General features: G+C 40.6%; 1 protein-coding gene across 6 annotated transcripts in view, besides 8 other annotated features; it reads right to left on the bottom strand.

Annotated features, from left to right (window-relative positions):
- PIP4K2A (phosphatidylinositol-5-phosphate 4-kinase type 2 alpha) overlaps nt 1-26,750 on the bottom strand; it is a 179,725-nt gene that overhangs the window by 70,565 nt on the left and 82,410 nt on the right. For 5 of the 6 annotated variants that reach the window (XM_006717450.3, NM_005028.5, NM_001330062.2 and 2 more), the window contains exons 2-3: nt 4,202-4,299; nt 2,509-2,605 (exon numbers count right to left, since the gene is read on the bottom strand). In XM_006717450.3, the coding sequence (XP_006717513.1) occupies nt 2,509-2,605; nt 4,202-4,299 (195 nt within the window). Of the gene's footprint in view, nt 1-2,508; nt 2,606-4,201; nt 4,300-16,806; nt 22,171-26,750 lie in introns of those variants that run through there. The other variant, XM_017016331.2, reaches the window with a different exon arrangement.
- Nucleotides 5,127-5,661: an enhancer, noted in NCBI's record as "NANOG hESC enhancer chr10:22899474-22900008 (GRCh37/hg19 assembly coordinates)". NCBI's record gives its function as "activates a minimal SCP1, AML or CMV promoter by ChIP-STARR-seq in naive H9 embryonic stem cells {active_cell/tissue: H9 hESC(naive)}" and the evidence as "EXISTENCE:reporter gene assay evidence [ECO:0000049][PMID:30033119]".
- Nucleotides 10,044-10,612: an enhancer, noted in NCBI's record as "H3K27ac-H3K4me1 hESC enhancer chr10:22904391-22904959 (GRCh37/hg19 assembly coordinates)". NCBI's record gives its function as "activates a minimal SCP1, AML or CMV promoter by ChIP-STARR-seq in naive H9 embryonic stem cells {active_cell/tissue: H9 hESC(naive)}" and the evidence as "EXISTENCE:reporter gene assay evidence [ECO:0000049][PMID:30033119]".
- Nucleotides 10,044-10,791: a biological region, named in NCBI's record as "H3K27ac-H3K4me1 hESC enhancer GRCh37_chr10:22904391-22904959".
- Nucleotides 10,352-10,421: an enhancer, noted in NCBI's record as "active region_3138". NCBI's record gives its function as "activates an Ori minimal core promoter by ATAC-STARR-seq in GM12878 lymphoblastoid cells {active_cell/tissue: GM12878}" and the evidence as "EXISTENCE:reporter gene assay evidence [ECO:0000049][PMID:35858748]".
- Nucleotides 10,472-10,521: an enhancer, noted in NCBI's record as "active region_3139". NCBI's record gives its function as "activates an Ori minimal core promoter by ATAC-STARR-seq in GM12878 lymphoblastoid cells {active_cell/tissue: GM12878}" and the evidence as "EXISTENCE:reporter gene assay evidence [ECO:0000049][PMID:35858748]".
- Nucleotides 10,552-10,791: an enhancer, noted in NCBI's record as "active region_3140". NCBI's record gives its function as "activates an Ori minimal core promoter by ATAC-STARR-seq in GM12878 lymphoblastoid cells {active_cell/tissue: GM12878}" and the evidence as "EXISTENCE:reporter gene assay evidence [ECO:0000049][PMID:35858748]".
- Nucleotides 13,022-13,316: a silencer, noted in NCBI's record as "tiled region #2326; HepG2 Repressive DNase matched - State 5:Enh, and K562 Repressive non-DNase unmatched - State 5:Enh". NCBI's record gives its function as "represses a minimal TATA promoter and a strong SV40 promoter by Sharpr-MPRA in HepG2 and K562 cells {active_cell/tissue: HepG2 | K562}" and the evidence as "EXISTENCE:reporter gene assay evidence [ECO:0000049][PMID:27701403]".
- Nucleotides 18,208-18,708: an enhancer, noted in NCBI's record as "H3K27ac hESC enhancer chr10:22912555-22913055 (GRCh37/hg19 assembly coordinates)". NCBI's record gives its function as "activates a minimal SCP1, AML or CMV promoter by ChIP-STARR-seq in naive H9 embryonic stem cells {active_cell/tissue: H9 hESC(naive)}" and the evidence as "EXISTENCE:reporter gene assay evidence [ECO:0000049][PMID:30033119]".

Below are 26,750 nucleotides of genomic sequence, written 5' to 3' on the forward strand. Positions count from 1 at the left end.
AATATCAACTTACGTAGTTTTCTTTGTAGGGCGAAAAAAAGGGAAGGAAAACCAGTTCATGTCTTTGCATTTCAGCAACTAAATTGGTCATTTGAGGAAATTTTAAAAACTACTTTTCTCTGCTGCAGTGCAGAACTCAGACCATAATGGGTTCATTTTGGATCTCATTTGACAGAATTGATTATGACAAGAAATAGAAAGACTTCATTTCAATAATGAATTGAGGAATCTAACAAGATAAGATAGATGCATGGGCCCTCAAAAGTCAGTTTCTGTGAAATGCCAGTGGAATTGTTTTATTAAAACAAAACCCAGCCAAACAAAAAAAGGACGTGGAGAGAAGGAGGAACACACTGGTGTTCAGCTTTTCTTAAGGCAGAGGAGATTTTCTTAAGACACTGAAGCTATCTGCTGTTAATTCCTTTAAAAAAAAAAAAAAAGCACCTAGTTCATTTTCAGGTGGCCTCTTTAAATTTAGTAATGGTTCTAAAGTGATACAGAATTATTAATTTTAACTTCAGAGAAATGCTTTTTACTATTCTAATAATTTTCTGTTAAAGTTAATTATTTTTACAGCAGTAAATTTCAAGTCCATAATTGTGATCTAAGTTCTCTCTTAAAAATTAAGCCCCAAGGCCAGGTGCACTGGCTCATGCTCTGGGAGGACGGCTTGAGGCCAGGAGTTTGAGACCAGCCTGGGTAACATAGTGAGACCCCAATCTCTACCAAAAAAAAAAAAAAAATTAGCTGGGCATGGTGGTGCACACCTGTAGTCCTAGCTACTCTGGACGCTGAGGTCGGAGGATCACTTGAGCCCAGCAGTTTGAGGCTGCAGTGAGCTATGATCACACCACTGTACTCCAGCCTGGGCAACAGAGCAAGACCTTGTATCAAGAAAAAAAAAGAAACGCCCTAACAGGAGTGTTGGCTCCCACGCAGTTTTAATAGCAGATGAGCAACCACATCCTTCCTGTCCCACTAGCCAGCCCTCAGCTCTTCTGTGTACACAGAGCCTCAGCTCAGGGTCTGGACCTCCATGTAAACCACAACCCCAGGCCATCATGAGACAATGTCACCGGCAGCCTGGTCAGCGCTGCTTTCTCCAAACATGGCAGCCTCTCTCATGCCTGAGTAAACATATGAAAAATTCCTGGAAATTTTTGGCAATGGTACAGAGAGGGCAGTGGGAGCACAGATCTTTAGGAAAGTGTGCTAACTATCTCAGTTTGCCTGAGGGACCCTATTCTTCAGAGGAAAATACAGGGTAAGCTGTATCAGTACTCAATCTGTAGTCACCCAGGGTGGCAATATGTCACTTAATGCAGGATAAATTCAGATCTTAAATTGAGGGCAGATTAGGACTAGATTTGAAGGGACTTAAGTCAGTATATGCTGAGCATCCTTTATTTGAAATGCCTGCAGCCAGTCGTATTTCAGATTTTTTCAGATTTCAGAATATTTGCAAAGATAATGAGATATCTTGGGGATGGGACCCAAGTCTAAACACGAAATTTATCTATTTCATATACACCTTATACACATAGCCTAAAGGTAATTTTATACAATATTTTAAATAATTGTGTACATGAAACAAAGGCTGTGTTGAGCACTTAACTGTGGAATTTTCCACTTGTGGCATCACGTTGATGATCAGAAAATATTCGATTTGGAAGCATTTTGGATTTCAGATTTTCTGATTGGGATACTCAACCTGTCCCTTGGATTTCCACTTTTAAAAAAAATCCTTAGCATTTACGAATCTGGCTCGCTATATGAAACTTGGGTAACCAATGTCAAATCCTTTCTCAGAAAAAAATGATCATGGCTCAACAGTTATTTAAAGAGTTAAAACAGATGTTTAAAAGTTAGAATGAAGGACCAGGCCAGTGTGGGGAGGAGAGCAGCAGTGCACATTTTTACGTGGTGGGAATCAAGATGAAGAGGAAGATGTACCACAGGACACGCCCAGGATGTTGGGTTCCTGGTGCTGACCACAGTGCTATGGTCACTCCACAGTCCAGCACTGCAGTGCACAAAGGGTGCCCTTTGACAAAAATGCTGCAGCAAGAGTCTGACCAACTTGAAAAGCAGCAAATCAGCAAGATAAAGATTCCTGAGAGTCCTAAGTAGCCTCTACGAAGATACAAAACATGCACACTCACACAGGCTACTGACATGTCTGACAGCAGAAATTAACAGGCAGCTCTGCTAGCCTGTTAATTTCCACCTGGAAATGAGAGTATTATATAAAACCCTCACATGCTCAGTCTCCTTCCAAAGAAAAGTAATATATTTTCCTACTGACTTTTATACCGGTATCATATGTATAGAGGTCCCCAATCAAGAGAACACTTTACTTCAGCATGAACATTAAAAACTTCTTACACAAAATGAAAATTACTATTATATAATACTTTTATTGACAAAAATACAGATCCCAATTGACACAGCAAAAGTCATGGCAAAACCCATTTCCTACTGGAAGCAAATGTTACAAACGCAACTCACCTGGAAATCTTGATCATCAATTCCAAACCTCTCCCGCAGGTTACGGAAGACCATCGGGCAGTATTCCTTAAACTTGAAATGGCTCGGCATGTTTTCTCTGAAACAGTCACAGCGTGGAATAAAGCTCAGAGAGAGTCAATCAGACTTGCATCTGCCACCACTGAGTTCCACAGGTAGCCAAAGAAGGGTTCAGAGTTCACTGCCTACCAAAAGCACAGGTGTGCTTCCTAGAACCAGGTACAACCCGCAGAAAGATCCAGGAGACACAGGGGGCCAGACGGATGTCTGTCTGTCTCCTTTGTCACAGGCACGCTTGGACTATGTGACCTCTTTAAATCCTGGCCACACACTGCAGCCATTCCTCAAAGAACAAGAGGTGGGGAAGGAACGGGCCAGGCAGGGGGAGCAGTGAGGGAAAAGCACAATGGCGGGAGAGTGAGTTAGGAAGAGGCAGCGGAGCAAGGTTCCCTCTCAGCTACTGCTGAGGAAAGGAGGGCCACTCCCTCACCCCCCTAAAAGGCCTGTTTTATATAAATGCCACATTCTAAATTTGCTTAGAGGAAATTCCCTGAAAGTCAGCTTCTAAACACTGTTATGAGAAAAATTAACATCAGCTTCACATAAGGACAATGGCCCCCTGAAGAAATTTCATAATTGGCCTGGCATGGTGGCTTACACCACTCATTTGTAATCCCAGCACTTTGGGAGACTGAGGTGGGAGGATTTCTTGAGGCCAGGAGTTTGAGGCCAGCCTGGGGAACATAGTGAGACCCCTGTCTTTACAAAAAGTTTTTTAAAAAATCAGCTGGGCATGGTAACCTGCACCCGTAGTCCCAGCTATTCAGAAGGCTCAGGAAGGGGGATTGCTTGACCCCAGGAATTTGAGACTGCAGTGAGATATAATTTCACCACTGCACACCAGCCTGAGCAACAGAGCAAGATCCTGTCTCAAAAAAAAATTTCATAATGATCCTCACATGGGAGTGATTTGAGGTTCACCCTAATCATTCAGAATTGTTTCCCTCTTTGTGTTCCCACACAACCAGATAAATTAAATTATACATATGCACACACCCCTCCCTTATCATACTTTGCACACTGAACTATAGCAGTTTGTATATGTGTCAGTTTTTGTACTCTGAGCCCCTTGAGGGCAGGGCCGTGTCTTCTATATCATTGCATCTCTAGCTCTCAATGGACCACCTAACATATAATAGGTGCTTCATAATGACGTCTAAAACAACATTCAAATGAAGGAGGAATGTTATCAATGCCCAACATGGCATCTAATTGTGCCTTATGAAAATGTACCTTGGGTCTTTATTGTTCTAAGATGGAGTCATTGCTGTTCATAAATCATCATTTTCAAAGTTCTGTGTACAAGAGCAGAGGTTCATAACTGCTCAAAAATCCAAGCAATTTACAGCTTCAAAAATTTGAATTATAATGAGAATATCACTTTCAACGTATAAGATATTCATAGAGAACAATATGCCATATGGCAAAGGATATTATCCCAGAGAGCCTGCTGTTGCTTCTCTAAAAATGACAGATGGTTATGTTTATCACAGGATTAACTTCATCAGCAAAACTTTACTCCCACCCATTGACAAATTATGTGATTACAAAAATTCACAAAACTTGTACTCCTAGCAGCCACGCTAGTCTTATGAAAGGTCATACTTGTACTTACTTGTTAAAAAGGTGATTGTCCACCTTTATTTTTGAATAGGCTTTGAAGTCATCTGGCATCAACATAACAGGGATTTGAACATGGCTCAGTTCATTGATCTGGAAAAATATAAAATAAATAGCATGGGTTATTACTATCCAGGTGAGGAGGACTTGACTTGAATGTGTACCTTGGGAAAAAAAACATGGTGGACACAGGAACTTCTCTTCCCACCCACCAACCCACCCTCCTTCCCTCTGCCATCATAATCTCTCTTCCTGCCTTCCTCATTCCCACTTCTTATGTCTGTCTGATGCTGGGTCCATGGTGGCCACCGGACGGCAGTGGTGAGGGAGAGTCAATCCTCATGCCACCTGTCCCTGCTTCTTGCCCATCCACTCTCCCTACCTTCCCTCCACAACCTCATCCCACAGACCCTTTGGTCACATGTCCAGGACAACTTCCTTCTGTAAAGAAAATGTTATCTGAGAAAGAAAGCTTTTAAATTTTTCACGTAAATATTTGTTGGATTAATGGACGTGATTTATATATTGAACTCATCTGTGTGCTCTTTACTTCCCTTACAGGAACTAAGTTTAAAAATAAAGATTGGGGTGGGGCATGAATTTACCAAAAGAAGAACCTCCATTCAGGGAAGGAAGAAGACACGTGGTCCCAGGACTACAAGAGAAGGAGGTGGGTTGGACATGAGTCAAGAACAAAAGCAAAGATGTGTTTCCAAAGGACAAAGGGTAAGATCAAGTTCCAGTGAATGAAAGGGACAGCTTTGGACACAATTTTGAAAAACCTGAACTTTCTCTTCGTTAACTATTTTTGCATGTTGACTTTCCTTGTTGCTAGCAATAAAAACCATGTCAAAGATTTATGCTTCCAGTAGGATAGAAGGCAGGTACGCTGAAGGATTCTCAGTTACAAAAACAAAACAAGCAAACAACAAAAGAATGAGCTGCTTGATAGAGCTATTTGTTTTTTTTAATCACATTGCTGGGTTCACAGACAGTAGAGGCAATCTCCAAGACACCTTTCTTCCCCCAAAGTGAGTTTAATCCACAGGGAGTGTGGGGACCATTAAGCAAGCCTGAAAGGAGGGACTCCGAGGACAAATGCCAGTTTCAACACTTACTTGGGCCAAACGAAAGCTGGGAGCTCAACAAAGGCTTCAACGTTAACCTGAGATCCTTGAAGGAAGCCTTTGAAAGTGGCCCCAACACCTGGTGGAAGTAAATGTAAATGATCTCCGGAGGAGAGCAACCCCTGCCAGGCCTCCAGGCTTCCCACAGATGAAGATCAATCAAACATGAGCTCACAGAGACAGCAACGACTAATTAATATTTTCAAGACTTTAGTTACTAAGATGATCAGATATAGAATTTTTTAAGCTGTGAGAAATTATACAGAAATAGAAGATGAACAAAAGATGATTATATTTGAAAAAATAATGATTCAGAATTTTCCACAATTAATGCACGTTATAAATCTGTAGATACAGTTGGGCACAGCAGCTCATATATGTAATCCCAGCAATTTGGGAGGCTGAGGCAGGAGGACTGCTTGAGCCCAGGACTTTGAGACCAGCCTAGGCAACAGAATTCGTCTCTAACAAATAAAAAAATAACAAAAGTTAGCTGGGCGTGGTGGTGTGCACCTGTAGTCCCAGCTACTTAGGAGGCTGATGAAGGAAGATCACTTGTATCCAGGATTTCAAGGCTGCAGTGAGCTGTGATTGTACCACTGCACTCCAGCCTGGGTGACAGAGTGGATCCATGTCTGTTAAACAAAAAACAAACAACAACAACAAAAAAAAAACAAAAAAAAGCAGAATACTCAAAGCAATATATAAGTAAGAATACTCAAAGCATACCTAGATACGCTGTAGTTAAACTAAAGAAGGCCAAATGCAAAGAGAAGAAAGGAATGGTGGCCAGAGAGAAAAGGCAAACACAACAGAGGAATGATAGTGACAGCTGACAGCTAGCTTCTCAAACCCACTGAACAAAAACAGGAATCTAACGTCATATAGCTTCTCCAGTTCACTTTACTCAAGCATCTTATGATACTAAGTCATTCCCAGAGTATATCTATGAAAAATTAAAGTTTATGTATCCTTATGCTATCAGTGGAATATCAAAGTTTGAAAAATAACAGAAAAAGAAAATCATAATGGAAATCCAAGTCTTGTGATAATAAACACAATGCGAATGAAGCTGGATGCCAACTCAATCAGCACTTCGATATCTTGTGGAACAAGAGAAAGCGAAACCCAACGTGGAGGTGGGATCAGACACTGATTATTTAAATGCGCGTGATGTGTTCAGCAGATCCTCCAAAGCTTTGATGCCTCCTCAGGCTGCTTAAATCAGTATCACTTAAGAGAGTCTTCTCAGACAGGAAACAGGAAACCAGAAACTTTCTGCATCCTTTTGCTTTATGGTACCTGCTCTGGAACATGTTTTGTGGAGAAAATATGAAAACTTCAGCCAACATGGAATGAGTAAACTGAGAATTTTCCTTATTGATTTTCCTTCCCCACCCATCCTCGCGTCAGCACAACCTTTAAGAGTCCACTCTGTGCTGGGCACAGCTCGGACACCAGTCTTTGTCCTCTTGGGGCTTATGGTCCAGAGGGGCAGACACATTAACTGAAGAACTGCCCCAAGTGTTGAACTCTAACAATGACAGAGTCAGGAGGGAGAAGCACAATGGGCTACGAGCAAGTATGGAAAAGGCCCAGGCCAGATGGGGGAGGCATGTGAGGCTTCCCTGGGCAGCAATGGCTCGTGGAGAAAGGAGAGGGCAGGTGGACAGGGCTTCCAGGAAGAAGGCGAGTCCTAGAGAGGAGGGGACACTGTTAATGGGAAAACAGTGCAGAAATAGACAAGGTGCGTGGCATGAAAGGGATGAACAACAGGCCCAGGAGCACCGGGAAGCGGCTGCTGTAGAATTGCACCAGACAGAGGAGAGCAGCTCAGCAGAGGGCGGAGGCGGCAGCAGAAACGAAAGAAGCAGAGAGACTCCGGCATGCTGAAGTGCTGAAATCTATGGGGCTTGATGATGACAGACTAGAAATGTAGGGAAAGATGGAGGGAATGCTGCATGCATGCGGGGGAAGCTGGTGGGTCCAACGACTGGCACAATGCATCTTAAGAGAAGAGTTCAGTTTTGAGCTTGTTAAACTTCATGCGCTCTTGGGACATCTAAGTGTCAATGTCAGGTAGGCCGTGGACAGGTGGGTCTGAAGTTCCCAGGGGCAGCAGGGGCAAGAGATAAAAATGTGTGTATCTGTGCATCAGACATTAGCTCCCCAGAGGAGTGGATGAGGTAACCTGGAGAGGGGCCGGTGTGATGGGGAGGAAGGCGGAGAAGCAGTCTTCAAGAACGGGAATGTTTCCAAGCCTGGAGAAGAGGATGAGAAAGGGGAAAACTGCCATCGAGGCAGGAAGTGAAAAAGCACAGGGCCACCCAATGGGAGTGAAGGGAAAAGGGGGTTCAAACATGCTATGGGATGATCATGATGCTTTTGAGAAGGCAGGGACTGGGAAATGTCAGCCAGATTGAACGGCACAGGAGGTCCTTGGCAACCTTGGCAGAGTTGTTTCGGTGGAGTGTAGCAATGGAACCCAGACTAAGTTGAGTTAAGGAAATGCTGGCACTGCACAGGGCTGATTTCTAAGGAGCCTGGCAGGGAAGGACAGGAGCGAGATGAAGAGGGATGAGGGACAGAGGGAGGACCTGACAGAGAAGGGACATTCCGTAGCACTTCTCGAGAAAGTGGGAGGGGATGGGATTCAGGCATGCAGGAAGGAGAGGCTCTGAGGAGGGAAGCGACTTTCCTGTTCACAGGAGGGAAAAGAGATAGGTGTCATGGGGAGGGAGCAGAACTGATGGAGGGAAGATGGGGCTCCCGACCACTGGCTCCTATTTTCTCTGGGGATTAGGGCCATGGCCACCTGCTAAGAGTGAGAAGCAGGCTGAGGACTTCAAAGGTTAAAGAGAACACAGAGAGCTTAAAAAGGGGACTGCAGAATGTGGATGGACAAGTTTAAATAGAGACAGGAGGCTGGGCTTCCGGGCAGAGCTGAGCGTCATCCACAGTTTGTGATGGTTCACGTACAGGAACCAAGTGAACTTGTGGATGACATTCCTCATTCTGGCAGAGCTCAACCCCAGGGTGCAGGTGCAGAGACAGGATGACAGGCGTTCTTCAGGATGGAGGGTGTTTGCTGGCTGAGTGTGACATAAAGGGGAAAGGAGTTCCAGGACCATCACTTGGAAATGGAAAGTCAGTACAAAACAAGATCCCTGACTGTAAGGAGTTTTCCACTGTAGTCGATGGTGCAAGACCTTCACATGTAGTAAAATACCAAGCAGCACAGAAGAAATGCTGAAGCCAGACAACAAGTGCCACAGAAGCACAGAGCAGGAGCCCGTGGTCACGGGTGTGGGTGACGGGCTTCTTGGAAGGAGTGCAGCCCTACATGGCCCTTGAGGGACGGAGAGTTCTGACTACTGTGTCATTTAAATGTCAGGGAAACACAAACTTTTAGCTATTCCCCATCTTCCAAAACCAGACTACCCCAAGAGGTAGAGAATGTTTGGTCCTCTTTATCTAAGAAGACAAGAAATGAGACAAGAAGAAAAATCAAATGGTTTACATGGAATCATAAGATGCTGAAATTAAAAGAGAATTTCGGAGATCATATAGTCTAACCTCTCATTTTGCAGATTGTAATATGTCCTGGTACAGCAGTATCTATACCTTCATAATTGAGTAGTGCGGCAGGATACTGAGTTAGATCTGACAGCTACTTTATGGCTACTTTATCTTTCTTCCAGGTGGCCTTTCATTCTTTACATTTGCATCACATTGCTTTTGGCTTTATTTCCCCTCCGGATTCCCCCCAGAAAACTTCTTCGTCAGGTGGTAGCTAGATTTAATGACTTGTAAACAAACACTTCACAAAACAGAGGATCTACTACTTAAAAGAGAAGCTTTTAATTAGTAAACTATTTTTTCAATAGTGTACCCATGAGCCTCTATATTATTTTTTCTACAACACATTTTATTGTGTTGTATATGAGGCTTAGCGATCATTCGTCAGTTTTACTGAAATGGATTACTTGCAGAGCTGCTTAATAACTGAAAAGACATTTAACTTCCTGAAAAACTCTCTCCTTTAGCCTGTTACTTTGCTCTTACCCAAACTAAAATATATTGCTTGTCTCTAGTTCAAATTTTGGTGCAAATGCAGGTAATGGCAATGAGCTCCCAGATTGAAGAAGGCTGAGTTAATCCTATTTGTTAACTTCAATATTTTATATAGCGCTCTGGGCTGTGAACTTTCAGATTTCAAAATAAAGATTCTTGGGTTTCAAAGTCTCCAGTTTTAGAAAACTTTAAATTATTAGTTTGGCATCCTACCTAGACCAACCATTCTATATGATCTACCCTAAAATTGATAACTAACAGTGGTTTATCATCATTATTTTACACTTATTATCAGGATTTTTTTTTTAAAAGATAGGGTTGCTCAGGCTGGAGTGCAGGGGCATGATCATGGCCAACTGCAGTCTTGAACTCCCAGGCTCAAGCAGTCCTCCTGCCTCAGTCTTCTGAGAGCTGGGACTACAGGCGCACACCACCATGCATGGCTAATTTTAAAAATTTTTTTGTGGTGACAAGGTCTTGCTATGTTGCCTGGGCTCAACAGATCCTCTTGCCTCAGCCTCTCAAAGTGTTGGAATCACAGGCATGAACCATCCCACCTGTCCTTTCATCAGTATTTTTTATACAAAGAATTGACACTTTTCTAAGATACTTATATTGGGAACACGCACACATATAGTTCTATCTATATGTTACATAATGTTCATAAAGGAAACAGAAAGATTTGTGTTAACCATTACTGTTTTGAAGGAAAGAATCATACACCCTTTATAGGAATAAGCATATATTGTGAAATCCAAACAGTTTTTAATTCATGAAGATGAAAGTGGTTTTTGAGTTTATTAAAATTTTCTTAGGTTAGCTGAACAAAGTGAAAGCACCAGTTATACTATCACATACAGGCCACCTTTAAGGTTCCTTCAGGTTGCAAATATTCAATAAAATTCTCACAGCAAAAGAGCAATATCACTTTACACTTAATGGTTGTCAAATACTTAATGGTTGTCAATCCCCTTTGGCAAACACAGTATAGTTCTCTCTGTACTGCTGGTCACACTCACAGGCCTGTAAAACAAGTGTATTAGAAATTCCCCGCCCCACACAGAGTGGCTGGAGCCTGGGGCCCCAGGGCATCCTGGGAGCGACTTCTTGTTCCTGTTTATGCCGGACTTCTTGTTCCTGTTTATGCCGTGCCAGTCACCCCCAAATTGCAGGTGTGGGTCTGCACTGCCTTGCTGCCCGGCCATTGGGCATCAAAGCTGCCCATGCTGGGGCTCCAAAGATGACATAAAATAAAGCAGCTTTGTTGTCTGCATCAATAGAAACAGGGTCAAACGGGGCGGAGAGGGCTAGTGCAGAGCGCCAAAATGTCCCTGATTATGGTATGACTCAAGAGTGGGGGCAGGGGAGAGAGCAGAGGGGGAGCTGACATGTGGCAGGGAGAGGGAGGAAGCCGGGGAGAGCTCCTCAGGCTTGGCTCAGCTTTACCCTAACTCACTGCCACACTTGGCACTAACCTTACGGCTCATGCTAGGTGCACATGTGCCAAGACCCACGTGAGGCACTCCACACACAGTATCTTATCTGATCTTTACAACCCAAGGGGGTAGAGGTGCTATTATCATGCCCATTACACAGATAAGGAAATTGAGGCTTAGTGAGATTAGAAAAGGCCCAAGCTATTAAACAGTAGAGCTGTACCTGGAACTCAGTCCAATCTTAAATCTTCTGCCAACATAACTCACATGAGTTACCTGGAATATAAAATTCAGGGAGCTGGACTGGCTGAGCCCAAGATACTTTCAAATTCCTAACAGCCAGTGAGATAAGATTCCTAGCAACTTCATAAGATATCTGCCTGAAATTTAAGTCTTCATTGTGTTCAAAAAAACTTCTAAAAGATTCCTTATTTAAAAAAAAAAAGTAATTAAGTACATGTTTAGGGCAGATGATAAAATACACACTTAACTGAATATGTACCATGGGCTACTACAATTACACCAGCTGTGGTATAATAGCACAATGTAAATCTGGAAAGAACTGTGTGACTGAAAAGTTGTCATCTAACATTTCTTGTCATTTTAAAAAAGGGAAAATAAATACTCCTCAAAGCTCCATTAAATCTTAATGAATCATACACAATATCCTTGAAGGATGTAAAATCTACTTCTAAGCCAATTATTTATTAAAGCCAATTGTCTCAGTTTCCTTCATGAAAAATATAATTAACACAAAACACAGTAACATTTATGTGGGCCTTTCCTTTTAAATTACTATATAGCCCAACTCAGAAAAGGTACCTTGATTCCTCTCCTGAGCAAGGCATTGACATTTACATCACATGCAAGTTCCCTCCAACACTGCAAAACACACAGGTTTGTTTTTTCGTGTGAGACTGGCTGACTGCAATGAGTATCACTCCTGCAGATGTAAGACTAAATTCACACTGGCAGGAAAAGAGAGGTTGCAATTAAGCTGCAAAAATGGGAATACTAAATAGCTACTGGACAAGGAATAAATAAGTGAGACCCAGCTGGTAACGGTTCTGAAATTACGGCATACAGGGGTGTCCCCACAAAGCCATCTCACAGTGTGACATTTAAAAAATAAACCTCACTAATTTATATCATTTTTAAGTCAAGCAAAGAATATGCTCATAAATCCTGAGAGGCATTATTAATGGCACTTAATTAATTCAGATATATTCACCCTAAACACTATGTTCTCAGACTAATACATAATTAGTAATTGGTTTTCATTCAGCCAAGAATATGCAAAAAGTACCAAAAAAGCCTCTCACATGTAGAGGAGACACTGAGATACTTAATCTGATTATAATGAAGACAATTCCCTACAAATTATGACATATTGAGATGAAACAGGAAGCACCCCTTGTGTGGAGCCCCTGTTGGGTATAAAGGCTGGCGGAAGTGGCAGGGGGCCTGGAGGGGGAGCTATTTCATGGCAGCATGAGCATGGGGGAAGACAGGAGATGTCGAGAGTGGGTTGGGAATTATCTTGAAAGGCCCGTGCATCCCTCCTCAAAAATCTCAAGACACAGATTGAAAAAGGGCTCACTTTATCTCCCAAGATACATTTCTACTACTTAAATATGAGGGCCTATTTTAAAACATAATTCAATAACAAAAATAACCAGAGCGAGCTAAGCACAAAGGGTTCAAGATCAATGAGGGCCCAACAGGAAGAAGTGTAACGCATAACTTGATATGATGACTATTCTAGATACTACTGTAATTAATTTCATAGGGAAATCAAACAATAAATATGTCATACCAGATTCCCTAGACTCTGCAAGTTTTGCAATTGCTTCTGGCTTCTACAAATGGATGCTCGCTAGGTTCACGACCTAAAATGTGATATGAGTTCAACATTACAGATAAAAATCTCTCCTCTCTTTCCCCACATCCCTTCCTATCAGTATCTTAAAATAGATACTTTCCACTTACTGGACTCATCCTAAGAAAACAAAATTCCTTTGTGACTCTGTGGCTGATAAAGCACACAAGGATTCCTTCCACCAAACAAATGACTTTGAACAATTTCTGCCCTGAGGTTCATTCGCTTTAAGAAGTGAATGAACAGAGAACTAAAATTAGGACTATTAAGAGATAAGAGTTGAGGGTATCCAGAGCTATTGAAGTGACTCACAGCTGGAAGTTCTGACTTGTTTTGTCCCTGTCCCGCAAACAGAAGGGCCCTGCAGTTGTGATCAGAACTTTCACTTGTTCTCCACAAAGGTTTAAAAAATGACCTCAGGTGCATTGCTAAGAAAATATTTTCCATAATGTCACCTAAAAAAGGCCATCACATTGCACAATCCCCTCCACACCATGCTCTTCTCTCTCCAGAGCTATCTGCACACAATTTATTTCTGGAGAGGTGCAGAGGGCTTGGCTGGGAGCTGAGAAGCAGAGACAATACAGCTTCCAGGGTTAGAATCATGTGCAGGAACACAGTAGTAGGCTGCCTGGCTGACACAGAATTACCCACATTAGGTGCAATACCTACGACCTCTCCTTCAGAATACTTGAAAGTTGTGTCCAATTTGTTTGTAAAATGGGGAAACTACGACTATTTATACACCAAAGTTCATATTTTTGATGTGTATTGGTAGCAACCAGAACATACTTAGAACAAAGACCATCATAAAGGCATAATTTTTTCTTACTTTTTTCTACTAAGTGTCTTATTGGGAGAATGAGGGATTACCTAAACATTTTTAATCTGATTTTCACTATCTGATATTCATGTGTAATTGTTAATTTTGTACTGGGGGAAAAAATCACCAACTTGAGCACCAGCTCTCATTTGGAAATAATTTTTATAATATTACAATGAATATAGGTTGAAACAATTAAGAACTTTAAAAAAAAAAATGAAGTTCTAATATGATTCAGGCATGTAGCCCACACTTGGAATGCTGTGGCTCTCATTACAACCTACCCTGCAAACCAAATAGCAATTTGAAAGTTCTGAGGTTTCAGAGGGACAGGCAGGGCAAATTAGAATCAGTTACAGAGGCAGGAAAAAACGGGCAGCTGAAAATGTCTGGGAAATGTACTTTTATTTGTCTTGAGGCAAGAGGTCAATTTTCTACAGCTGCTTCATCAATATTCATTTTCTTTTTCTTTTTTCTTTTTTTTTTTTTTTGAGACAAAGCCTCGCTCTGTTGCCCAGGCTGGAGTGCAATGGCATGATCTTAGTTCACTGTAACCACCGCCTCCTGGGTTCAAGCAATTCTCCTGTCTCAGCCTCCCGAGTAGCTGGGACTACAGGTGGGCGCCACCACGTGTGGCTAGTTTTTGTATTTTTAGTAGAGATGGGGTTTCACCATGTTAGCCAGGCTGGTCTCGAACTCCTGACCTCAGGTGATCCACCCGCGTTGGCCTCCCAAAGTGCTGGGATTACAGGCATGAGCCAACACGCCCAGCTAATATTCATTTTCTAAGACCATTTCTCAAAAGTTGATGTCTATCTGCAGATAAGACAAAAATCAAAGATCCAAGTATATTTTAATTAACATTTTCTTCTGAAATCTGAGCTACCTTCCAATATCTAGAAAAGAAATGCTTTTTTTGACAAGCCAAATAAAGTTATTCTGATATCAAAGGTGAGTAGGAATGAGAATAAAAGCACAAAGGTCATCCTTTCCAGGGTCCACAAACTCAAAAGCCTAAATTAATTCACTTCAGCAGATTTTTCAATTAAACAAGAATCATTAAGTCAATCTTTTGATTAATGGCTACTTGACTAAAATTAAAATGTCATCAGAAATATTTAAACTTTTGCTTAGAATCTTACTTTAATTTATAACATAGACACAAACTCTCCCATCTGTCAACTTGGTATCTGCAAGCTCAATCAGACTCTTACGGACATCCTTGCCGGCTGGCCCACTGTCAACTTCATACAAAAGAATGTAGTCATGTTAAAATTCTACCTCCCATGAACCACAGAATCTGACATAAAACTACTGAATTCAGGCCAAAAATTTATAATCTGGTACAGAGGTAATACTGGCTTTTTTAAAAATTCAAACAAAGACATTGCCAATGAAAACAAGAGCTTACAACGTGGTCCATTCAAAAGGGCCCCAGGCTCAGGGAGTCAGGAGACCTATGACTGAGCCCTGGTCAGCCACGTCACCACCCTCTGGCCTTGAGCAAAGTGCCCCAGCACTCTTGATCTCGCTTTATACTTTAAAAAACGAGTCTGAGAAGAGATCACAGTGATGTGTGCTTTGGCCCAGATAGTGATTTAGAAAATGCTTGAATTAATCACCAATCTTTTCAGACTTGAGAACATTTACATACAAATTTGGATTTCTGGCTTCTTTTAAAAATGGGAAGACCTGGCACCGGGCCCGGCATCACTCATCTGGTGCTGAGTAGCTGTGGGGATACACCCTCCAGCTGGGCACAGTTCCTGCCACTCCCTGGAGTCTCCTGCCTGGATGACTTGGCCCATTCCAGGGCTTTAGCCACCACAGGGCTCTGGTGCCTGCACTTGGGAGACATTCCCACAAATTCAAATGAATCACAAAACAACTTTCCAGAGATCCACTTAATTCCTGGAAGACACACATAACCTCTTTAAGTGTTTCATTTATGTGGATGTGGCAGTGCAGGGACAAAGATTGGAAGAAAAGCCACAGCTCCAATATTCTAATCAAAGGCATTGCAAGTTCCTGGTCTTCTTTTGAAACTGACACAGGGGACAGGGAAGAGATGCTAAATGAAGCTAATATGCCTGCAGTTGCCTGTAACCATGTCTTCAGCCACGTAAAGTTAAGCATCACCATTGATGCACAGAAAAGACGGGATAAGACAGATAAGAGCCACGTGCAGATGACATCATTTGAATCTCTGGACCTGGGGGATCTTGAGGCCAGCCTAATCCAACATCCTTTCCAGAGACAGAAACCAATCAATCCCCTAAGCTAGAGGAAGGTAAATTTCTGCCACTTGCAATTGAAGACACTCAAATACTTAATGGATGTCAAATAAGAACTTCACTCATCCAAATGGCATGACCACTAGCAATCACACAGCACTCTAAGAAACTGATCTTGAAAACTTCAAATAAACATTTTACTTTTTAGTCAGATATTTAATATGCTAAAATAATTTAATACTTCCCTGGTATCTTTCTTTCCATTCATCCTGGGATAAGGATGTTCTAAAACTAGAGTTCCCCAAGTAAGCTGTGAAGGCAAAGCTTCCAGAAGGTGCTAGATGATACCAAGCTGGCCAGAAGCCCTAAATCTCATACCTAAATCTGGCTAGCCATGGAGAAGATGGGGAGGAGTTTGGTATGTAATACAGGTGTCCCTGGGTACCCCAGATAACCACATCTACTGAAAAAGTAAGCAGTGAGTGACAGCTGTGCATTCAGAAAATCAATCACTGAAACACATCATTAATAAAACCTGTAAGACAATGGAGAAGGGGATGGCATGTACAGTTCAGCATTTTGAACTGAGATGTGTTCAGCAGACTTCACAGTTGGGACCTTCGTTAAGATTCCAGAAGGAAGCAATGAAATCCTAATTCTGTTACACCAGAACTTTTGTTTTTCTTTCCATGACCACAACAGAGGGGCCGCCTGCTTTCCTGCCCAGCATCCATCCTGAAAGAACAATGAGAGGAAGGGTACCATGCTGCCATTTACACTGCTTTCCCGGATTCCCATTTTAAGAGATGACCTGACCATGCATTTTTATCTCTTTTCCTTCCAGAAGCTCTGCTAAGATGACAGTAAAGGAAGTTAGAGATTGGGGGAAAATCAAAAACACCACCACCAAACATGACAAGAACATTGGAGAGCAGACAATAGAAAACGAGAAATGTCAAAGAATTTTTTAAAGACAGAAAAGTAGTAGAGGATTGTTAGCAGACAGAAGAGGAGACAAAGCTGCTACCTCTGTGCCGGTGGCCACTCAATGCCATGTGCTCCCAGATGCTGAGGGGCTCCACAGCTGGGGTTCAGGTGGCAGAAAGACGGTGCGCTGCCTGTTGCTGTCCATGCCATCCCATCGCATGAGAGGCACAGGACTGATTCCTCAGAAACCCCAGCCCAAGAAGCTTCGGGCACGGGAAGACCCAGCTCACACAGGGCTGGGCTGGGCGTCACGGAGCACGGGAGGAGCCAGTTACCATCTGTGCTCTGAGGCCTGGGCCCTCTGCCGCTGTCCCCTGCTCTGCTGCAATCGCACCTTTGGCCTGGGTCACTCCCCGAGGGGACACTGGAGGATTCCCATTCTGGCGGAAAGGCCCTAGAAATATTAATAATTCCGCCAGTGGGCGGCAGCACAAAGGCTGGCCTCTTCCCCACTGTCAGTGGACGGGCACCGCCACTCCACATACCCGGGACAAGTCGTCTGTCTTCCAGCACCTCGTTCTAAAACCTGACTGGAGAGCAACAAACCACCGGACATGGGAGGAAAGCCTTTAGCATGAAGGAGACTATAACAAATCTATAATTTTTTTCTCAATGCTATTTAACATCATGCAATACTAAATCGCCAAATTTAGTACTTCACAAAGTACTAAAAATAACTGAGTCACAGTAAGGTGAATGCTATTATTTTACCAAAAAAAGTATGCATTATTTCAAAAAAAAGAAGGATGAGGGGAGAAAAGAGATGGTGTGAGAGAGCCAGCATCATCTGCCTTGGCAGAAACTCAAAAGAAAATGCCTAACATGACAAATTCATAAATAATGGCACAAGCATATTACCTAGCAAACACCGGGGCAAATAATTATGTATAGCTGTGTAAACCAACATGGAACATTCTCTAAGAAATAGTGCAGAGTGAGAAAAGCGAGATAGAGATGCGTTTAATGTGCTACCATTGACTTTTTTTTTAAAAAAAAAGGTTACACATTCATGTGTTTGTCTATGAAACTCACTGAGAAAGCACAAAAAAAGCACAAAGATCAAGTTTAGGTGTCTGGGGTCGGGGGTGAAGCTCACCTGTAATGGTGAGCTTCCGTACTGTTTAAATTCTTGATCACTTGTTATTTTCATAGTAATGATGGAGAGAAAAACCAAAGTGCTCACGAAGGAAGCGTCTAACTCAGGGGCAGACCGCAGCTCTAAGGCAAGGGTCGCAAGGGTCTTCCACAAGGGCGGTGTGCTCCTCGGGGAGAAGACAGCAGAGCTTCTCTATGTACATTATACTAAAAGGCTGCCTTTACACAGCTTGTCTGACGAATGCCCTCCTCAGTCCAATGTGAGCGTCATGAGCTGTATATTGGAAGGGAGGTACCCCCAGGAACAGTAGGAGCTTAGAGGTTGGCGGTTGGCAGGGGACGTCCGTGCACTGCTCAGGTCCAGTGCATTGCAACCAATTGTAGGTTACATGTGCCCAGTTAAGTGGATTTGCAGATCATACCATCTGGCTTTAACTAAGCTAAAGCAACGCTCACAAAACAGGTAAGTGCTTAAGAGGATGCCTGAAAAACAACCACATGGGCTGAAGCTAATGTTAAACACACAGGACCAATCAACAAGAAGCCACGTGGCAGGCCTAAGACTGAGCCCTGAGCTCCCAGGGTTCTCGCTATCAGTCACATGATGAGGTCAAAGCACTGATGATTTCATCAGATATGAAAAGAATAGTTCACAACAATTAAAATGACTGGGAAGACTTTATTTAAAATGTGGGCTTCCATTCATTTTTGTTCATGATAAAGCTTCCCTAAGTGTACACTGTGCCTAGAGATACCAGCTAATGATACTCCAGAGCTATCAAAATGCGCAAGTCATTTAAAATCTAAGCACTCAGGACCTGAAGACAAACAACTCTAGTTTTCTTCACTATGTTTAACATTGGGCAGTACTACACTACAAATTCAGTACTTCACAAAATTTTATTAATTTAATGATTAACATGTAGAAGCTTCTTTCTGGGTTCCTCTGCTAGGAAAAGACTAAAAACCACATATTACTGGAGAAGCACTTGCTATTTCTACCAAGGCAAAAATGGCTTAAAGCATGTAAAAACCAATATGGCATCAAATTTGAATGAATTCCTTTGTCAGCAAATACTGCGGGCAGAGGCATAGAAACACCAGTCAATATTTGAAGACTCAAGGATTAGAATAAATTACACAGCCTATGAAGTTTGCTTTAGAATTGCATCAAAGTAAAGATGATTCTAACATTTCTCTGCTTCGGGTATTTGCTAACTTATTTCCTGTATTCAAAGAACTACTGTGTATGGTTGAGAGGGAAGAAGAATGCAAGCACTTTAAAAAAAAGTTGTGGAATTTAGGAGATGAGTCATGCACTTTTCCCTTATAAAACATGTGTTCCAAATTCATGGACCTTTGCAGGGGTCAGAGGTGCTTCTCAGTAGTATGTTACCTAGCAGGGGGAAAAAAAAATCAGCACACTTTACGCTTCCTTTCAAAGTAAAGGTGAGACTCAACATTGAGTAAGAAATTAACTGCTTTTCAAGAGAAACCAAAGCTTTGAAAGAGTATTATACAAACAGATGTTTGAAAATATTTCCACTGTTTTGTTATCTTTTTGCCAAAAACAATGAAACTGTGTCACCTATGAAAACTTTTATATCAGCACACTTAGTAACTTGGAAATAGAATATTCTAGTGTATTAGAAATCTTGCCAGAGAGTTTCAAACCCATTTGTTAATGGTTTTTGAATCTATTTGTTAAAAGTTTAAAAACACAATAAACTTCCAATAAGTTTCAGAATAAAATTTTATCATCTGAAAGTCAACTAAAAACCTTTGTATAACTGGCGAGATGTGTTGAGAAAAGGAGCATAATAATTTCGTATGATTTAGTAAAAATGGCCAGTGATACAGTTCTTCCACTTGTATTTACAAATCTTTGTGGGGTGTATTTTTCAGCAATGAAAGCCATTAAAACTGACAATCAAAATATGCTAAACTTAAGAGCTAGGCTTTTAAAAAATCACTATTAAAACAACATTTTCAGAAAATTCAAAAATTAGTTTTACTGCTTTCATGAAAAAATCTCTAACGGAGAGCAAAAGATTTTCTGTAGTGTTAAAATTACTGAAAATACTTAATCTTACCTTTTTCAGTCTTAAATATGCATTAAAATGTATAGAACATTAATACTTCTATATGACTATAATGTATACATCACAATACATGTTATTCGTATGCCCTGATTTCACATAAACACAGCTATGTGATCCAAAAAAATCTGGAGTCTATTGTTCTAAGGGAGATGTTTTCAAAATACACCTATCTTTATGCATCTATTACCCCAGGGATGAGGAAACAGGATATTTGGCGGTGGGCTTTGGAGTTAAAAAAACAAAACAGTCCCCAGGTATTTGTGATACGATCCTCTCCTCTTCTACATGCTCCTGGCATTTAGTTGGCAGTGCTGAGAAAGAAAGTGATCCTCTTATACTCAGGCTGGCCAGAGGCAGGAGGCAGGGCCACGACAACAGCATTCACGCTTAGCCACAGCAATATCATGTTTTAAACACTGTCAAAAACCTTTCACATAGACGTGGTTTTCGCAACACTGAAATAAGATTATTCTCACTGAACAGAAGAGAAATAAAGTTAAATAACTCAGGAGGGAGGGGAAATGGCCTTTCTTATCTCTTGGGTCACAAGAAGAAAAGGTAGATTCAGACTTCTGATAAAGGCCTGTGCTTACACCAATGTCACCTACACAATGGACTCCAGAGTCCTTTCTAGCTGGACTCTGGAGTCTTGAAGTGAGTGCCACATGGACAGAGATGACATTATAGCCATCCTGCGTGGTCCCGCTGAGTCTTTCCCATGGCCTGGTGGGAGGCTGCATTCCAGGAGCCTGCAAAAACTATGCAAGTTCGGAATATAAATCAGATGACTGCATGGGGTACTCAGCATTTTGATATCTAAATCCCAATCTTCTATATTAATTTCTCCTACCCAAATTTCTAAAATATATTCTGCTTAAAAAAAAAGAGTAACTTGCTTTTGAGCTCAGAGCTTTTCTCATATACTGAATTAATCATGTTTTCCTGGTGAGTTATGTTCTTTAGCCTAAGAGACTATTTCTAAAAATGCATGTTGTTAAAAGAATAAAAGCCAAGAGACAACTCAAGTTTTGTCTAAAGAAATAATTGTTTAGCAAGTAATATTTCAAAGCTATTGTATTCAGAACACGAGGATATTGTTTATAAGACATACCACACTACATTTCTTACATAATTTTCTTTTGTGCCTGAAAATGTTTCTGAAAATTGAGGAGAATAAGGATGAGCTACCCAGTACAGTAAGTTGTTACAAAGATTTTTCACTTTAGGTTTTAGCACACCTATATTCCATCATCACACTGAAGTGCAGAAAATCACTTCCCGGTATAGATACAAATTTACTTCATATTTTAATGTAAAGTATAGGGGTGTGGTTTATAAAACAACCATAAGCTCAATTTCTTTTTCATAGCTGAAAACAGGATATTTTCATCTATATTTAGACGCATGTATACTCACAAAAAAATACTTTAGCTTTACAAATAACAAAAATAACAAGTACTTTCTTTTAGCCTAGTAAAAAACAACTGTCACAGTTTCATGACTCATTTTCAAAAATATGTCATGCCAATTAATATATATCTCCTACCCACAAATATTCCTATTCACAAACTGTCAAGAGAACAAAACTGCTACTAGTTGTTTTCATTACTTTAGGAAAAAGGGCATTTGCCATCACATGAGTTTTGCATAAATAATTCTCTCTTCTCCCCATCTCCTCCCACGCATTCTATGTATTCTATCAACTATAAAAAAAAGATGAGCAAAATAAACCAGAGAATTAGACGTCAGAGAATCCTAATTCCTAATTAGATCAATTAACATTAATTTCTCATTCTCCATATGCTATGAACATGAATCAAGCATGCAATCTACCCAGATTTAATCCAGGCAGTTCTCACTACATTTTAAACCTGGAAACCTCTAAAAATTCTTCTGAATCATTTGAGGCTAACAGTTTTCATCAAGATAAAATGCAGACTGTGAGTATTTAACTCTCACAGTCTCTCCCACCAAACCACCCAGCATCACACACATATTCCTAGGAACAGCATAGATTGCCCTAAGTGATCTCTCAAAGGTTATTAGGTGAATAATACAGATCTTAAATAGCGTATTAGTTTCTTTAATATTTTCTCACAAATATCTCTTTTACATAAACTCTAATACATTGCCTTTCCCTGCTCATCAAGAATGTGAAAGAAATACTGAAAATAGACCTGCATTTGTTTAACCAAAAGCTAATATGTAATAAAAAAAAAAAAAAAAAAAAAAAAAAAAAAAAAAAAAAAAGATAAGGAAAGCCACTGGCTGTGGCTTTGTACAAACCTGCTGGGATACATGACACATTGTGCTTTCATTGCTGCCACCTCACCATGCAAGGGCTTTGCCTGTGTGCAAGGTCTTTTACTGTCAAATTTAAGAATCCCCATGATATTCTTTATTTGAGGACTCTAGTAATTTCTTATGTAAAGACAGTCTAGGGAGAATGTAAGAATATAAGCATTAGCTGTCACAACAGGATAAAACACAATTTTTCCTAATGAGAGAAAAGTTGGCCTATGGTTGTCATTATTCCCTACAATATTACAGCTACCTTAAGGGTGGGGACTAGATCTATTCATTTTTGCACACTTGGTACATCCCAGGAACCAACTACAAGAAACAGTTGTTGACCAAATTTTAAACTCATTCCCTGGGTTATAAACTTTTAAAGTGATTTTACTATTATATCTAGCAAAGAAAAATCCTGATATTCATAATGATCTCTCAGAAACCCAAAAGCTACAATGCCAATGATTAAGTTTCTGTTTACCAAGTTACCAAAGTTTAGACTGATTAAACACAAGATGACTTACTAAAAGATTATTTTACTGGCATAAAATAAATTCAATAAAATATTCTCCACAGACTAATTCCACCAGCCAAGCAATTTTTGAAGAAGTTGTTTGTTTTTGTAAATGTGCACAGCATCTCAAACTTATAAATGTTCATATCCATTATTTAAGTCCTTTTTATAGTATGAATCTTGATCGTTAGAAAAAGTCTCAAAAATCACAGAAAAAATTGTACCCTAAATGCTTTAAATTGTTGCTGTATACTCAGGAAACAGTAACGTCAACGAAGAGTCAAACTCTGTAATGTGAAGAGGTTTATTGTGAGCCAAATATGAGTGACCAACGGCTCATGACAGAGCCTTCAGGAAATCTTAAGAACATGTGCCCAAGGAGGCTGGGGCAGAGCCTAGTTTCACACATTTTAGGGAGACATGAGATATCAGATACACGTAAGATTCACATTGGTTAGGACATCTTGAAGCAGGGGAAGGCAGGCCTTCCAGGTCATAGGTAGATTGAAAAATTTTCTGATTGGCAACTGGTTCAAAGAGTTATTCTATAGAAAGCAATGTCTGAGTTAGGATAAGGGGTTTTGGAAACCAAGGGTATATCATGCAGATGAAGCCTTCAGGTAGCAAGCTTCAGAAAGAACAGACTGTAAATGCTTCTTATCAGACTTAAGATCTGTGTTGAGGTTAATGCTGGTTGGCTTCTCCTGAATTCCAAAAGGGAAAATGGTAGAATGAGGCATGTCCAACCCCCTCTTCCATCATGGCCTGAACACGTTTTTCAGGTTAACTTTGGAACACCCTTGGCCTACAGGAGGGGTCCGTTCAGATGGTTTGGGGACCTCAGAATTTTGTTTTTGGTTTACATAACTCTCCTTGCTAAAAAAATCCAAAACAACAATTTTCTCTCTTATTTCCACATGATTTGTTGACAGCCCATCAAACAGAACAATTTACCAGAAACTTAATAATGCTTAAGGATTATTAAGCTTTAATATACAAACACTTTTAAATTCACTGCCTCTAAACATACACTATTGAAACCTTAAAAATGACAGGATGGCTATTAAAAGCATGCTTCATTTAATATTTTACTTTTATGTGGTTAAAGGTCCACCATACTTGCATTCTTTTCAAAAATGTGGAAGCCTAAAGCACTCACTAGACCTATGATTCTAAGACAACTGCAGTCATACCTCGAGTCATACTGCAATTGGCAGAGGATGCTAGAATGGAATGACAATTTTTATTTCGAGGAAAGCAATCTATGCTAACTATAAAATAAGTTGTCCTTTTAAAAGAAAACAAAGTTCTGTATTATAATTAAAAAAATCAAGAGTGACTTTAAAGTAATATATAAACAACACTGAAGATAAATTTAAAATACAAATAATGACATATACTAAAAGTAAAATTCCAGGTGGTTTACTATTTCCACTGAGGAGGTAGAGCTAACCCCATCAGAACTTTAGGAAATGTCATTTTCCTAACTTGTTGACTAAATTAGCTAAATCAGTTTCACTAGTTTTCTCTTACCCTTTTTAACACTCTAGAGGAAATATATTTCCTATTCCAACCAAAGACAACCCAGTCTTTGCTGTAGTTTTTGTTTTTATTAGCACATGTAGATACATGATACATGTGATAATAAAAGTGTTCAATTCTAAAGAAGGAGTGAGCAGGGGAGCCCTCCTTTCTATAAGATGTCTTCAAAACAGGATTAAGAAAAAAAGATATTTTACTTTCACTAGATGACAAAAGGAAGCGGTATTAGATGTTCTCCAAAAATGTCTTTGGTTGACTGGACTAGCTACAAGATGCTCTCTGTATTTCTCAAGAAGTTTCCATCTGACTCCAAAAGCACACCCAAGGCCAGGCGCAGTAGCTCATGCTTGTAATCCCAGCATGTTGGGAAGGCCAAGGAGGGAAGACGCTTAAGGTCAGGAGTTTTAACACCAGCCTGTGAAACACAGGGCGACTTCATGACTACAAAAAAAAAAAAAAAGCCAGGTATGGTGGCATGCACTTGTGGTCCCAGTTATTTGGAGGGCTGGGGTTTCATATCAAACAGCCTTTTTGTTTGATATGAAGCTGGTAATGATACAATGCCATTTCCTCCACCTAATTTCCATAATGATTTACACTGTCCCTGATGATCACCATAACAGTTTAATCATGTGGTTTATATTTTTTCCTCTAGCCCTATGTTTTAAAGATTGTTTCAAGTGCTCTGCTTTGTAGCTATTCAGAATATAAGTAGCTACTTAGATGTTAAAATACAGAATTACTAGATGACTGTTAAAAACATGACTAGATAGGAATCATCTTTCTTATACATGAAATGGGGATTTTTACAACGAAAACTGCTTTCCCTTGTAGATGTGAATCCACCAAGTCAGCAGGTTCTAGAACTGCTGTATTTATCTGCCTTACAGCAGTGACCCAACCGTTCTGTTTTTAGACATTAGCAAATATATGATTATCAGCAAAACTTCAGAATGAGCCACAAAGGGTAACAAACTCAAAAACTTGAGCAACAGCAGAATTCATATTCTGTTAAGTTTTGGTTTCAAAATCCCCAACAGTCCTCTAAAGCTGGGACAGGATATGCAAATTGCAGGGATGACTCACCATCTATCAATTACTACAACATACTTGGGTTCTGGGTCCTCTCACCTTCCATCATCATCCACCCAATTAAGCCAGCAGACTCAGGCAAGGTTTGACACATCAATTCTCTTATTCTTCTTACAAGACTAAATACTAATGGACAGGAACATGGCAACAGGGACAAGAGAGTAGGTAGGAACTAAAATGACAGCTTCTCGCGATCAGGAGCCAAGTCATGCACCCTGCCCAGAAAGCAGCACAACAGGCCACACACGGTATACTAACACACCACAGGATACGACGTTCAGTTTTACTTTGTATTGATGGTCAATACAGAGTTTCTTTGCTTTAGCAATAATCCCTCTTCCAAATATTTTTTAATAACCTTTTTGTAAATAGTGATAATAACAGACTGTAACTGTCATGGGCTCAATGTTTTTGTCTCCCCCAAATTCCTACAATGCAACCCTAACCTCGAGTGTGACTTTGTTTGGAGATGGGGCCCTTAGGAGGTATTTAAGGCTAAATGAGTTCATCAGGGTGGGCCCTGATCTGATGGAATTAATGTCCTTTTAAGTACAGACACCAAAGAGCTCAATGCCCCCATCCCCAGCCCAGGCCCACCATGTGAGGACAGGGGCAGAAGGTGGTCATCTGCAGGCCAGAAAGAGACCCCTCACCAGAAACCGAACCCTGTCAGAACCCTGATCTTGAACTTTCCAGCTTCCAGAACTGGGAGATAATAAGTATCTGTTATTTAAGCCGTCCAACTGATGGCATTTTGGTGGTGGGTCTAAGCAGACTAATACAGTAGCCATAGAATAAGAATCTATGATTTCACGTTCTATGGAAGAAGAGGAAACTCTTCCTTACAGTACAATTTCAACTATGTAGAAGGAATAATGAAAATTAAAAAATCAGCAATTTGCAAATACCACAGTAATAACTGTTACACATTAAGAATCAGCAATAAATGTTCAATTTTTTTGAGCAAAAGTATGCTGAGAAACAGGATATTTACACAATCTCTAAGTATCTCCCACAACATACTTAAGAACAAAGGGAAACAACAGTGACTTAACAGTGGAGAGAGCTGACACTGACATCACCGTAACCAACTGACCAGAGTCAACAGCTTCAGTGATGAGATCAGTGGACATCACGCGCCTTCTGATACGTGCGCTGAGATGGACACAACACTAACGCTCTGGTATTCTCGTGAAAACTGCATAATGAATGTAATCATTAGGAAGCAAGCTCTCGGTGAGAGCCATTCTACAAAATAACCAGTCTTCATGAAAAGTGTAAAGGTCATGATAGACAAAGACAGGAAATAGTCCAGATTAAAGGAGACTAAGAGACATGACAACCAAA

The sequence above is a fragment of the Homo sapiens genome, chromosome 10 (genome assembly GCF_000001405.40).
Source record: "Homo sapiens chromosome 10, GRCh38.p14 Primary Assembly".
In the NCBI taxonomy this organism is placed as follows: domain Eukaryota; kingdom Metazoa; phylum Chordata; class Mammalia; order Primates; family Hominidae; genus Homo; species Homo sapiens.